At 45.5% G+C, this 12,550-nt stretch overlaps 1 pseudogene; it reads left to right on the top strand.

The window, feature by feature from the left end:
• Positions 3,015 to 12,550, top strand: part of ANOS2P (anosmin 2, pseudogene) — a 168,317-nt pseudogene continuing 158,781 nt past the window's right edge.

Here is a 12,550-nt window from a genome sequence, read left to right on the forward strand (position 1 = left end):
TAGCTGCACCTGAGGGTCCTACCCCTTTATCCATCATTTCCTCAGCATACTCTTAGTGTTTTCCTCCCCTGTGGCTGGCTTTCATGAACTTAGGTTGTGGCTTACCTGGTTATGTCAAAAGTCAGAGAACTTCCATGTTTCAACTTGGAAGGTGAGCTGGATAATAAATTAGGTATACATGGGCAGAGTGAAAAAAAAAAAACTGGAATTTGACTGTTATTCTGACTTTACTAGAATGTTTTCCTTTTAAAAGTTACTTTAAGCTGCAATTAAAATAAATAATATGAGAAAGACCTGCGTAATCACAGAGAAAGTATGTGATTATTCTAAAGGAAGAAAGCAATATAACTGCAAGTATTATTTTAACATATGCATAATAAGGTAGCCCTATATGTTTATGCCCAAGTTTCCTTTTAATAACTGACTGTTCTCCTTTATGGTTTAGTATAAAATGCATTTATTCATAGAAATGAATATGCTATGGAACCCATAGAAGTAGCACACACATTGCTTTTTTAAAAAAATACAGCGACCCTTGTGAACATCCAAAGGCTGTTTTTAAAAGCTCAGCATGCTTGTCCTTGTGATTTCACTTTCTAGAATATGCATTTCATGATATGACAGGCAAAATTATAAATCAAATTAAGATACCTAAGAAAATGTCAGTGTACATAATATCTTTGCCTTCACCAAGACCGCGTATTTGCTTTACTTTAAAACTCCAAAGAAACACTAGGAAACAATCCCCTACAGCTTTTGGAAATGTTTTTAGTAATTCACAAATGAAAGTGACAACATTTAGAAGACAATCTGTGTATTCAGACATCATTATGTATTGACACATGCCTACTTGGGGTCACTATAGTTAGCTTCTTTACTCTTCATTAATATTAATTAACATATGTAAAAAAGATTTCCATTTGCAATTCTGAGCAATTTTAAAACAAATAACTGAACTCATGTAAGCTTAGCCCAAAATTACTAGGTTTCCAGCCCAAGTAAAGCAGTGGTCCCCAACCTTTTTGGCACCATGGACCGGTTTCATGGAAGACAATTTTTCCGTGGACCTGGAGGTAGCAGGTGATGGTATAAGGATAAAATTGTTACACTCAGATCAGCATTTGATTCTTATAAGGAGTATGCTACCTAGATATCTTGCATGCATAGTTCACTGTAAGGTTGGAGCTGCTATAGAATTTAATGCCGCCACTGATCTGACCTGAGGAAGAGCAGTAATGTTCCCTGGACTGCCACTTACTTCCTGCTGTGTCTCGGTTCCTAACAGGCCACTGACATGTACTGGTCTGAGGCTTGGGGACTGGGGACCCCTGAAGTAAAGGATTGTCATGGCTAAAACCTACAGATAGGGCTAGCTACATAATTTGTGAGACTTCATGCAAAATGAAAATTCAGGGAAACTTGTTCAAACATTATAAAGAATTTCAGCCGGTGATGGCAGAACAGCCCTTCTAAGAGTGTGACTGTACCACTGTACAGCTTGCATGCCCCTGAAACTGGCTCTGCCTGTAGAACCTTGTGAACAAGATGACCCTGATTTTCTAATTCGCTAAGAAACACATCAATGCCAGTTGATTCGATTGGCCTTGCTGGTTTAAGCTATGTGAAGAAATACACATGTAAAATGATGTACTTGAAAAACACTCATAATAGGATAGCTGCAGATGGCTGTCATTCCAATTTGTTAACAGGCAGATATCAAAATTGCAGAGTGGAACCTGTGTATAAGAATAGGGGAAAGGGTGGAAAATTGCAAAACAACTGTACAGCCTTTGAGCAAAGAGGATTCGAGCCTTCTGATGTAGCTTTGAGTAGAGGGAGTGCATCTAGATAGCCTGACTGTGCTTAGCTGGGTGCTTATGGAGATCCTCTTTTCGAAGGTGAAAGTGCAATTGGGTAGGAGACGGTGGAGATGTCAGAGCAAAGGAACAGCAGTCAGTTGTCCTTTCGAATTGCAGTGTGCCTGGGTCTTTTTTCTCTGGGTTTTCCTACCTGCAAGGGGACTGTCACTTCCTGATGCGGCTGAGGAGAGTGTAGAGCTTTGTTACAGGTTGTGTGTTATCAATGCCTCCTGTCTTTCTGTGGCAGGATCCTGGCTGGGGAGGGAGAACTCGTGTGCTAAAAGAGCACTGGAAAAGACAAGAGAGGCCGGAGCAGCCATTCCAAAGCTAAAAAGGCTGAGTCAAGAGGCTCGGGGCAAATCATGGGGAAAGAAAGAGGTTAAGACGCAAGTCTATTTTGAATAAATCACTCACTGTGGGCGTGCAAAGCTTATTAGAAAAACAAACGCCTGGCTGGGCGTGGTGGCTCATGCTTGTAGTCCCAGCACTTTGGGAGGCCCAGGCGGGCAAATCACGAGGTTAGGAGATCGAGACAATCCTGGCCAACATGGTGAAACCCGTCTCTACTAAAAATACAAAAATACAGGAGTGGTGGCGGGCACCTGTAGTCCCAGCTACTCGGGAGTCTGAGGCAGGAGAATCGCTTGAATCCGGGAGGCGGAGGTTGCAGTGAGCCGAGGTCGCCGCACTAAACTGCAGCCTGGCGATAGAGCGAGACACAGTGTAAAAAAAAAAAAAAAAAGAAAAGAAAAGAAAAACAGACGCCTTAGGAAACAAAGCGTGTGGAACTAAAGGAAGGTAGGACGCCCCTGGCGGTCCTGAGGCCTCTTTGGTCCTGCTAAAGAGAGCACCCCTGCTGGCAGGCGTGGGCCTGCTCACACCTGGACGGAGAGGGGAGGTAGGAGGGGCAGGAAGCGGTTGGTGCGGACGGGGAGGCGACTGCGTGGGGTCTTCCGACATCACCCTTCAGCTGAGTGTCCGGGGTCTCATTCCCAGAGACCCGCCCACGGGCCCTGCGTCCGCCCCTCCTGTCACACGCCTTCCAGCCAATGGCGCGGCCGCCTGTCCTTCTCATGCCACCCCTGGAGGGCAAGCAAGGAGGGAGGTTGGCTGGGAAGGCCTGGCTGGATTTGAAGTATCAAACTTTCCGGCGTGGTCGTTGCGGCTGCTGGGTCCCCAGAGTGCGGCCCCGGCGAGGAGCATGGAGCATCGGCCAGCGCCCGGCGCCCTCGCATCCGATCGGCAGCCATGGTGCCCGAGGTGCCCGGCGCGGTCCTGACCCTCTGCCTCTGGCTGGAGGCCTCGGAGGGCTGCCTGGCGGCCGGCCCCGGAGCAGCTGCTGCTCAGCTGCTGGACGAGTCGCTGTCTGCCGGGAGCGTCCTGCGCGCCCGCTGCGCCTCCAGGTGCCTAAGCTTGCCAATCATACGCATCTCTGCCTTCTTCCAGCACTTCCAGGTTAGTGGAGACTCCCGCCCGCCCCGGGTTCTTTCTGGTGCTGCGGCCGCGGCGGGAGTGCACCCGGGCGCGAGAGTGCACCCGGGCGCGCGCCGACCAGCCTAGGCGCGAAAAGTTTTCGGCCAGCGCAGCGAGCTGACCTGGCTTCTCCTGGGCGTGGATCTTACAGTCGGGGTGCTTAAATCGTGTTTTCCAGCCTCCTCCCGGCTCCCGATACGAAAAAGAAGCCCGAGGCGTCCTGCCCCAGTCTTGTCCTTCCCAGCAGGAAACCAAAGGCGATTTTCCTGGGGAGGGAGAGTCGTGAATGCCGAGGGTGGGTGTGTGGATGTAGCTGTTTCCCGGGAATTGAGTGCCCGAGATTCCAGGCGGGTGTCGACTCCCGCAAAGTCCCAGGTGCTCAGGAGCACTGGGAGAGAGTCCGGGAGGCGCACCCCGCTGCGCCCAGCTGCGCCCGGGGACCTTGCCACGAGCCCCAGCTCCGCAGGTGCCCGCAGGCCGACACTTTTTCTCTTTTGAACGATGATTTTTCACCATCCGCGGGCCGAGAGCTCGCTACCCACCCGTGGATTCCCCAGCCACGGCACTTGTGCCAAGTCGTGTTCCAGGGTGCGTGTATGCGCGTGTTGGAGGGTGCAGGTGGCTCCGCGCGCCTCATTTCGGAGTCCCTAAAGATTCAAGGTCTTGTACACTAGCGTAGAGCGTCAGAGAAGTGCCGGGGACAGGGGATTTGGCAGGACGGTGTTTGGATACGCCAGAGACAGGCTCCAAGGTCACTGTCCCCCAAACCCCATACTTAGGTTCTTTTAGCCGGCGAGTAGAGGAGTGTGTGTGTGCGCTTGGTCGCGTGTGTGGGAGTCTACGGGAACCGCGCGCTTGGCTCCTGAGGGTTGCCCGGACCCTGCCCCGTGGCATGGACCCCCGCGGGGCCTGCGCGGAGGCTCTGGGTGCGGGTGGGCACACTATGGCAGGTTTCGGACTCAGGGGGTGCAGAGTACAGCTGCTGCCTCTCCCAGCCCTGTCGAGCACGCGAGTTCTGAAACCCTGCGTATATTTTTCACCTCTCCTGTCATTCTTACCTCTGTCTGTAGGTGCCCACCTGTTCCAAGTTTCCACCGTCTCGCCTCAGGGAAATTCTGGGGGGACCAAAAGGAGAGGTAGGTGCTTGTTAGGAAGGCTGGCTTCCTGGCTGGGCGGGAACTGGAAAGCAAACCCTTGGCTCTTAATCTCGGGGCCTCTCCTGCCGGGGAGGGGAGGGGGTCAAGTGAGGGCCCTGGAAATTAAGCTGCCAGAGGAGGCGATATTATAAGGGTGGAGTGTGGAAGTGGTTCCCCGTAGCCCTTGGGGACGATCTTAAACCTGCTGGCAAAGCTGGCGCGTGCTCGAGTGTGCCCGTTGTGTTTGTTCTAAATAATAGAAGGAGCGTCTCCGGGGAGTCAGAGAAATGGGCACACTCTGCACTCCTCCTGAGTCTTCAGGGAATGGAAGACCCAGTGCTCACTTCTGTGGTGAAATTACCCAGACATCCTGGATAGAGCCAGGAGAGAGCCCGTCCCCAGTCACCTTGTTTCCAACCCTCTGTGCCCTACCATGAAAGTCGCTCTCCTGAGAAGATGCCACACTATTGCAGAAAACAAAACAGAGCAGCCTATTCCCGGGGAATAGGCTTTTTTTTTTTTTTTTTTTTTTCAATTAAATTGTCAGTGCTGTTATTTATTTGTTTTACAGTTTCAGTGGCTAAAGCAGCAGCTTAGATGAAGCCATTTCCCCGAGAAAGGCATGATTTCTCTTCGGAAGAAAAACTGCTGACAGAATGCACATTGCTGGAGAATCCCAATTACATTTTAATTAGCTGGGGGTGACATAAGCTGCAAATTAGTTAGGACTTAATAAGTGCTGTGTTTGTCATCAATTGCAAGGCCATTCTTCAAGCTTTAACCCTAACCTGGTAATGCTTAAATTGATTTATCTAAATGGCAGGGATTAAGCTTTCTTAAGATCTGAAAAGACAGCAACACACTCTCTTTACAAAACCCCAAGCTTCCCTGTTCCCCATCGCTTGGCTTTTTTTTTTTTTTTTTTTTTTTTTTTTTTTTTTTTTGTAATAATTAGAAGGAAGATGGGCCAGGCACGCTGGCTCATGCCTGTAATCCTAGCACTTTGGGAGGCCGAGGTAGGTGGATCACCAGAGGTCAGGAGTTCAAGTCCAGCATGGCCAACATGGTGAAACTTTGTCTCTACTAAAAATACAAAAAAATTTGCTGGGTGTGGTGGCAGGCACCTATAATTCTAGCTACTCCAGAAGCTGAGGAAGTGGAGGTTGCAGTAAGCTGAGATTGCGCCACTTCTCTACTCCAGCCTGGGTGAAAGAGCGAAACTCTGTCTCAAAAAAAAAAAAAAAAAAAAAAAAAAAAAAAAAAAAAAAAAAAGAAGGAAGATGGGCCGGATGCAGTGGCTCAAGGACTGTAATCCCTGTACTTGAGGCAGGCGGATCATTTGAGGTCAGGAGTTGGAGACCAGTGTGGCCAACATAGTGGAACCCCATGTCCACCAACTCATGACACCGCATGTGGTGTTTATTAATCTACTTGTAAAGGCTGGGCTACAAGAAGTCTTAGGAAGACTCTTTTTCTACAGGGTCACCCCACACCTCCAACTCCTGCAAATGAGCCCATCCAGAAAGCTGTCTCTGGAGCACATGCCTGTTTCCATCTTCTCTTGCACAGTTTCAGGCCATGTTTAAGGATGGGAGAAGATTGCCTGGCCTCCAGCCTGGATGCCAGCCAGGTATGTGGACTTTCAAGTATGAAAGCTGTCAGGCTTTGCCTCAGGAGAGCACAACTTATGCACTTGTGGTATAGGCAGTGACTCAGATTCCCTGGGGCTGTGACCTGCTGTTGTCAGCCTGCTGTGACTTTCCTCTTCAGCAGAGGAATCTAGACTCTAATAGTCTCCGCCCTAGTTGTCCCCACTTTTCTCCACTGCCCAGCACTTCAGCAACAAGACAGAAAAGCAGTGGGTAGATGTGCATACCTAGTACCTCCAGGTCTGCAGGCTGCTTCTGCCACACCTGCATGCAGTGGCTGTCAACCACTCCTGAAAACACAAGGGACTCAGTACTGAGGCATGAAGGTGGGAATGCAAACCAAGAGTACCTGAGTAATCCAGCACTGCTCTGACCTGGAATTCTTTAGAATGTCATACAGAAAGGAAGATGGGATGGAAACCCAATTATTTCACAACTGAATGCTTCCCTTCATTCATGAAAAGGAACAGTGAATGTTACCACCTCCTGAAATGTCGGTATCTGGCTCCAGGATGCTTTGTCCAGGGCATTCAGCATGGAGCTAATTCAGGCTCAAAAATATAATACATGTAGGAGGTTAGCAGAGTGAAGAGGAGCTATGAGTCTGTGAGCTATGGAACAGGGAAGTGGGCTTTGGGGCTGGGCAGATCTGCTCTGCACCCAGGCTCTGCTGCTTTGTATATGGGTAGGTAGGGTGGATTACACCATCTTCCTGAATATCAACCCCTCATGCATCCAGTGGGGGACAGAAGCACCTGCCCTGCAAGATGCAATCAGGACACGAAACGTGTTGGAATAATATACGCAATGGTAATACAGCAGCTCGCTCTGCCTGGAAGATTACTAAGAAGCAGCCACTCTGCTGGGTGTTTTACAAGTTTTACATCACATTTTATGTTCTAACCTGGCTGGTATGTTTCAGTGAATGGTATAAAATGTTAGGACTACGGTAGAGAGACTTATGAAAGTGTTATGGGGCACTGCTTGTATTAAATCTATGGATAAGTTTGTACTGCTTTCCAGAACCCTGACTCTTACACCATTTTTGGGGGAGGGGAGGTTTTGGACAGCAGTTAATGAAGCATATCCATATTATCCAAAGGCATTTTATCTATGAAATATGACCAGAAAAAACTGAAAGTGCATCATGCAATGCCTTGTGTAAACCATAGAATTTCTGTGCATGGTCTAAGCTTACAGAGCCTTAGGATTCTGGTCAGCTACTTTTCAACATTTCTATTTAACTTACCCTGGGCTCCATATTTTGAAAGCAGGTTGTGTATCAACATGTGACATTTGTTAAGTATGACCTAGTTTTTCCTCTTTTCATTAATCAAATATATCCATAACTCTTTCAAGCTTTAGATTATCTTTAGGTCTCCTCCATGACCAGAGGCAATTAATAAAATGAATACTTTGCACCATCATCTTAGGAAAATGGGTTATTTTGGGGAGTTTTCTGAAATATTTTAAAAGAGGTGATAAATGCCAATTCCTTTTCCAGTAGAAGGAAATTGGGTGGGTACGTGTACCACCAGTCAGGATGTTGTTGGTGGAATGATATTTTTTAAGCCGTCTTCCATAACACCAGCAACCTTTTCAGTTGTCCTCACCTGTGCAACTGTGGTGCAAAACTGCCTCCAGAAGCCAATAAGTGAGTGAGAAATGCCATCCTGGTTCCCTGACAACTGACTGCTTCTGGATCATAACAGAGTGCTGTTTCCACTCTGTCTTCTCTCACTGTTAACATTCTAAGAAGTGGGTTCATTGAGTTCAAACATCTAGGAATGCAACAATAAAGACTTGAGTTTCTGCTATGGAGCCTTTGCAATCTCACTCTCAGGCCTTCAGTTTTCTTATCTGTAAAAGAAAATAACATTCCTGACCTCACAGAGTAGTTGGAACAGTCAAATATGTAGTTTATGTGAAACAACTTTGTCAACCCCAAAACTCTGCAAAACACAATGCTAAACACCTTCAATCCTGTGGCTCAGAAATTCCAGAAAGCTTCTGAGTCAGACCCCACTGATTCAGAAGTTGTGTCCAACTGTAAGCCAAGAGACGAACAGCCTCCTTTTCCCCCTTCTTACTCACTTATTGGCTTCTGGAGGCAGTTTTGCACCACAGTTGCACAGGTGAGGACAACTGAAAATGTTGCTGGTGTTATGGAAGAAGGCTTGAAAAATATCAGTCCATCAACAACATCCTGGTGTTATTGATGGACTGGTGCATGTACCCACCCAATTCTTCTTCTAACCCATAAGAATCTGCAAAATACAACCATCTTTCAGGTATCTTAGATTGTGAGACCCCAGCATATGTGAGATGTGCTTCTTGGCTCCACAACAATTAATTTCTTTAAAAAGTTTTTTTTTTTATTTTTATTTTTTAGACAAGATCTCCCTTTGTCACTTAGGCTGAAGTGGCATGATTATATCTCACTGTAGCTTTGCACTCATAGGCTCAAGAAATCCTCTCACCTCAGCCTCCTGACTAAATAGGACTATAGGTATATAAAGTCCATACCTGGCTAATAGTTTTTTCTAAGTTTTTTTTTTTTTCCTAGAGATGAGATCTTTCTATGTTGATCAGGCTAGTTTCAAACTCCTGGCCTCCAGTGATCCTCTTGCCTCAGCCTCCCAAAGTACTGAGATTACAGGTGTGAGGCACCGTGACTGGTTAAGATAATTATTTTCTACTGGAGAGGCATTTAATAAAATTGCTGCAAGTTGTTGACATGAAGAAAGAAACTATTTTGAACATGAATCGACTTTTAAATCCTTAAATATAGTAATTTAACATGATCAAAGGTATTGATATTTTTCAGATGAAGAAAGTCTTTTTTCCTTTTGTCAATTGTTTTTGTTTAGGCCCATCCAATTTTCCATGCCTGTAATGAAATGGCAGAGTTTTATCGAGATTCTTGGGTAAATGTTCCAAGAAACTGGAGTCCTGCATATCACAGGGGATGTTTGCTGTCTGTGAATAATAAGTCACAATGTCTGCCTTCTCAGCTGTGTTGCTGTTGTGTACGGTGGTGGGACATGTGTGGTAATTGTAGCTTATATGTATGTGACAGCCATTTCCACAAGCTGAGAGTGCCTGACAGGCTTGCTTCACTGTCTTTTGTTTGGGGTTTGGGTGTGTGTGTGTGCGTTTACATTTTATAATTTTTTCTGGCATCTCTGCAAAATATAAAGTTAGGCAATGAGGAAATCTTTCAAAAAAAGAATTTTGAAACTTGTCAAGCCTGCTCCTGAGACCAAGATGGTAAAGATGTGAAGTTTGGGGGTTCTTTAATCCCCAAAGCTGTAAAACCTTTCCACAGGGGAGTCTGAGAAACAATACCCCATCAAAAGGCTTAGAAAGAATCCAGCAACTAATTGAAAGTCTTAATTCACATTCTGTTTACCCTTTTTTTTTAAATTGTAACTTTTTTATTTCATAGGGTTTTATTGCTCTTCAGGAAAATAATATTGCGTTAGTGAGCTCAAAAATATATAATTATGTGTTTCATATTAATTACCCTCCTTCTTGTAAAGATAAGGCAGATATGTTATCACTACTTAAAAGGTCATATAATGGGCCAGGCCTGGTGTCTCACACCTGTGATCCTAGCACCTAGGGAGTCCGAGGTGGGCGGATCATTTGACACCAGGAGTTTGAGACCAGCCTGGCCAACATGGTGAAATCCTGTCTCTATTAAAAATACAAAAATTAGCTGGGCATGGTCATGGGAACCTGACCTGTAATCCCAGCTATTTGGGAGGCTGAGGCAGGAGAATCACTTGAACTCAGGAGGCAGAGGTTGCAGTCAGCCAAGATTTTGCCACTGCACTCCAGCCTGGGTGACACAGCCAGACTCTGTCTCAATTTGAAAAAGTCACAGCCAGGCGCAGTGGCTCACGCCTGTAATCCTAGCACTTTGGGGTGCCGAGGCAGGCAGATCATGAGGTCAGGAGATCTAGACCATCCTGGCCAACATGGTGAAACCCTGTCTCTACGAAAATACAAAAAATTAGCTGGGCATCATCATGCAGGCCTGTAGTCCCAGGTACTCTGGAGGCTAAGGCAGGGAATCGTTTAAACCCAGGCAGGAGGCAGGGGTTGCAGTGAGCCTCTCGTGCCACCGCATTCGAGCCTCTTGAGAGAGCAAGACTGTCTCAAAACAAACAAACAAAAAAAACCTAATGTATGGTGATATTAATTTGTATTTAAGGGGGATGTTTTTTCCTAATTCCAATGAACATGATTTCAATCACCTTAAGGGAACAATATGTCTTTCTCGTACTTCTATTTATTATCCAATGATCATGGATTACATTTTGACTTTCATAGCTAATTTTTGGTTACATCTGGAGATGTGGCAATTTCATAAAGTTCAGAAGAGAAGGCAAAACAGAAAGCCTATTTGATGGAATTAGAAACATTAATTTTGCAAAGTAATCCAAGGGATTCTTTTCCCTTGGATTAGATGGGAATTCATTTCTTATGAAATGTATGAATGTTTTCTCCTCATTTTTGTTCTCAGTTCACAACTTTTTTTTTTCTTAATTCACTATAGGATTCTGGTACATTAATAATTCATATGTTTCGTACACACAACATTAATTTTGGTATTCTTTCTTCTCTCCAGTGCAAACAAGGTGTCTATCTAACAATAAACCCCATGAGTTACATTCTTTTTATTTTGGAGACAGAGTCTTGCTCTGTTGTCCAGACTGGAGAGTGCAGTGGCACAACCTTGGCTCGCTGTAACCTCTGCCTCTCACATTCAAGCAGTTCTCATGCCTCAGCCTTATGAGTGGCTGGGATTACAGGTGCGCGCTACTATGCGCATTTCACCTGCCTCCACCTCCTAAAGAGCTGGGATTATAGGTGTAAGCCACTGTGCCAGGCCCATGAGTTACATTGTTTTTTTCTTTGTTTTTTTGAAGGCAGAGTCTCGCTCTATCACCCAGGCTTGAGTGCAGTGGCACAATCTCAGCTCATTGTAACCTCAGCCTCCCAGGTTCAAGCGATTCTCCTGCCTCAGCCTCCCAAGTAGCTGGGATTACAGGCAATGCCACCATGCCTGGCTAATTTTTTTTGTATTTTTAGTAGGTACTGGGTTTCACCATGTTGCCCAAACTGGTCTTGAACTCCTGAACTCAGGCAATCCACCTGCCTTGGCCTTCCAAAGTGCTGGGATTACAGGCATGAGCCACCAAGTTACATTTTTAATTGACCTTTTCTCTGAAAGAAAGATGGAAACAATTGAGGAAGTCTACGTGTAAAAATAAAAATAAATCTCTCAGGTTAAAAGCAATTTCACCTATTCACTGTGTAACTGTTGAGTTCTTTGAATAGTTCATTCAAAGAAAGTTTATTTACTCTTGTTTAATTCTGTAATAGGGCATAATTTCAAGAGACAGTCTTATCTAGACTTACACAAATGTCCCAGCCTCTGTCTTTAAATGCCTATGCTATTGGAAGTAACAAGATTCTTCTGAAATGTGGATGCCTTGTTATACCACGTAGACCAGAAAGTAAGTTGACCAAAACCTGTAAACCAAAAATACAGAGAGAGATTTTGAACAGGATACACAGCTTATATTGATACCTGTCACCCCATCAGGTAACTCAGGTCCTCAGTGCTGTTATAACAAGCCCAGTATAACAAAGAGGGTCATTAGCTTGCTTTCCAACTGATAAGACTCATGCAGACTGCAAATTGAAAGATGCTTTACAGTCATAGGAAATAGTGATAATAGAATCATCCCCACAACTGGAAGTGTAGGAATACTTTCTGAAAACTCTGCAGACAACTTCTGATGTGGTGCTTAGATTTCCACCTTTTATTCTTCATGGCTGGATACTTACTTTTGTCTCTGCCTGCTGTGTTTTATTTCTTGCTTGGTGGTCATTTCTCCCCAGTGGACAGAGTTTTGCTCATTGTAGAAGCGTAAGTGTACCTAAAACTAGGAGCAGAGAACTACGCAGTTGTAAGGAGATGTGATGGCCACCAGACAACAGAGGTTACCCATTCCTGCCATATGAATGACCACATAAAGGCAGAATCACAAACCACATCACAGCATTGGCTCCTGTCCCCTAGAGTCAAAACCAATCCTGTAGAAGCCAATCCTGTTGATGCCAATAATGACAAGTTCATACAGAAGTTATTGACTCTTTTCAGAGAGAATGAAAAGAAAATGGGAGGCCAGTTGCCAACTGTGGTTCTTTAAATTTCATCTGTGGCAAAAAGGGACAGAGATGTCACCTAGGGTGGTGTCCACCATCAAAAACAGTCATTGAAGGTGGCTACTTTGTTTCCCATTTCCTTTTCCATGTTTTGGGCTATTAAAGCTATCTGGGGCCAGGCGTGGTAGCTCATGCCTGTACTCCCAGTGCTTTGAGAGGCTGAGGTAGGAAGATCGCCTGAGTCCAGGTG

The sequence above is a fragment of the Homo sapiens genome, chromosome Y (genome assembly GCF_000001405.40).
Source record: "Homo sapiens chromosome Y, GRCh38.p14 Primary Assembly".
Classification (NCBI taxonomy): domain Eukaryota; kingdom Metazoa; phylum Chordata; class Mammalia; order Primates; family Hominidae; genus Homo; species Homo sapiens.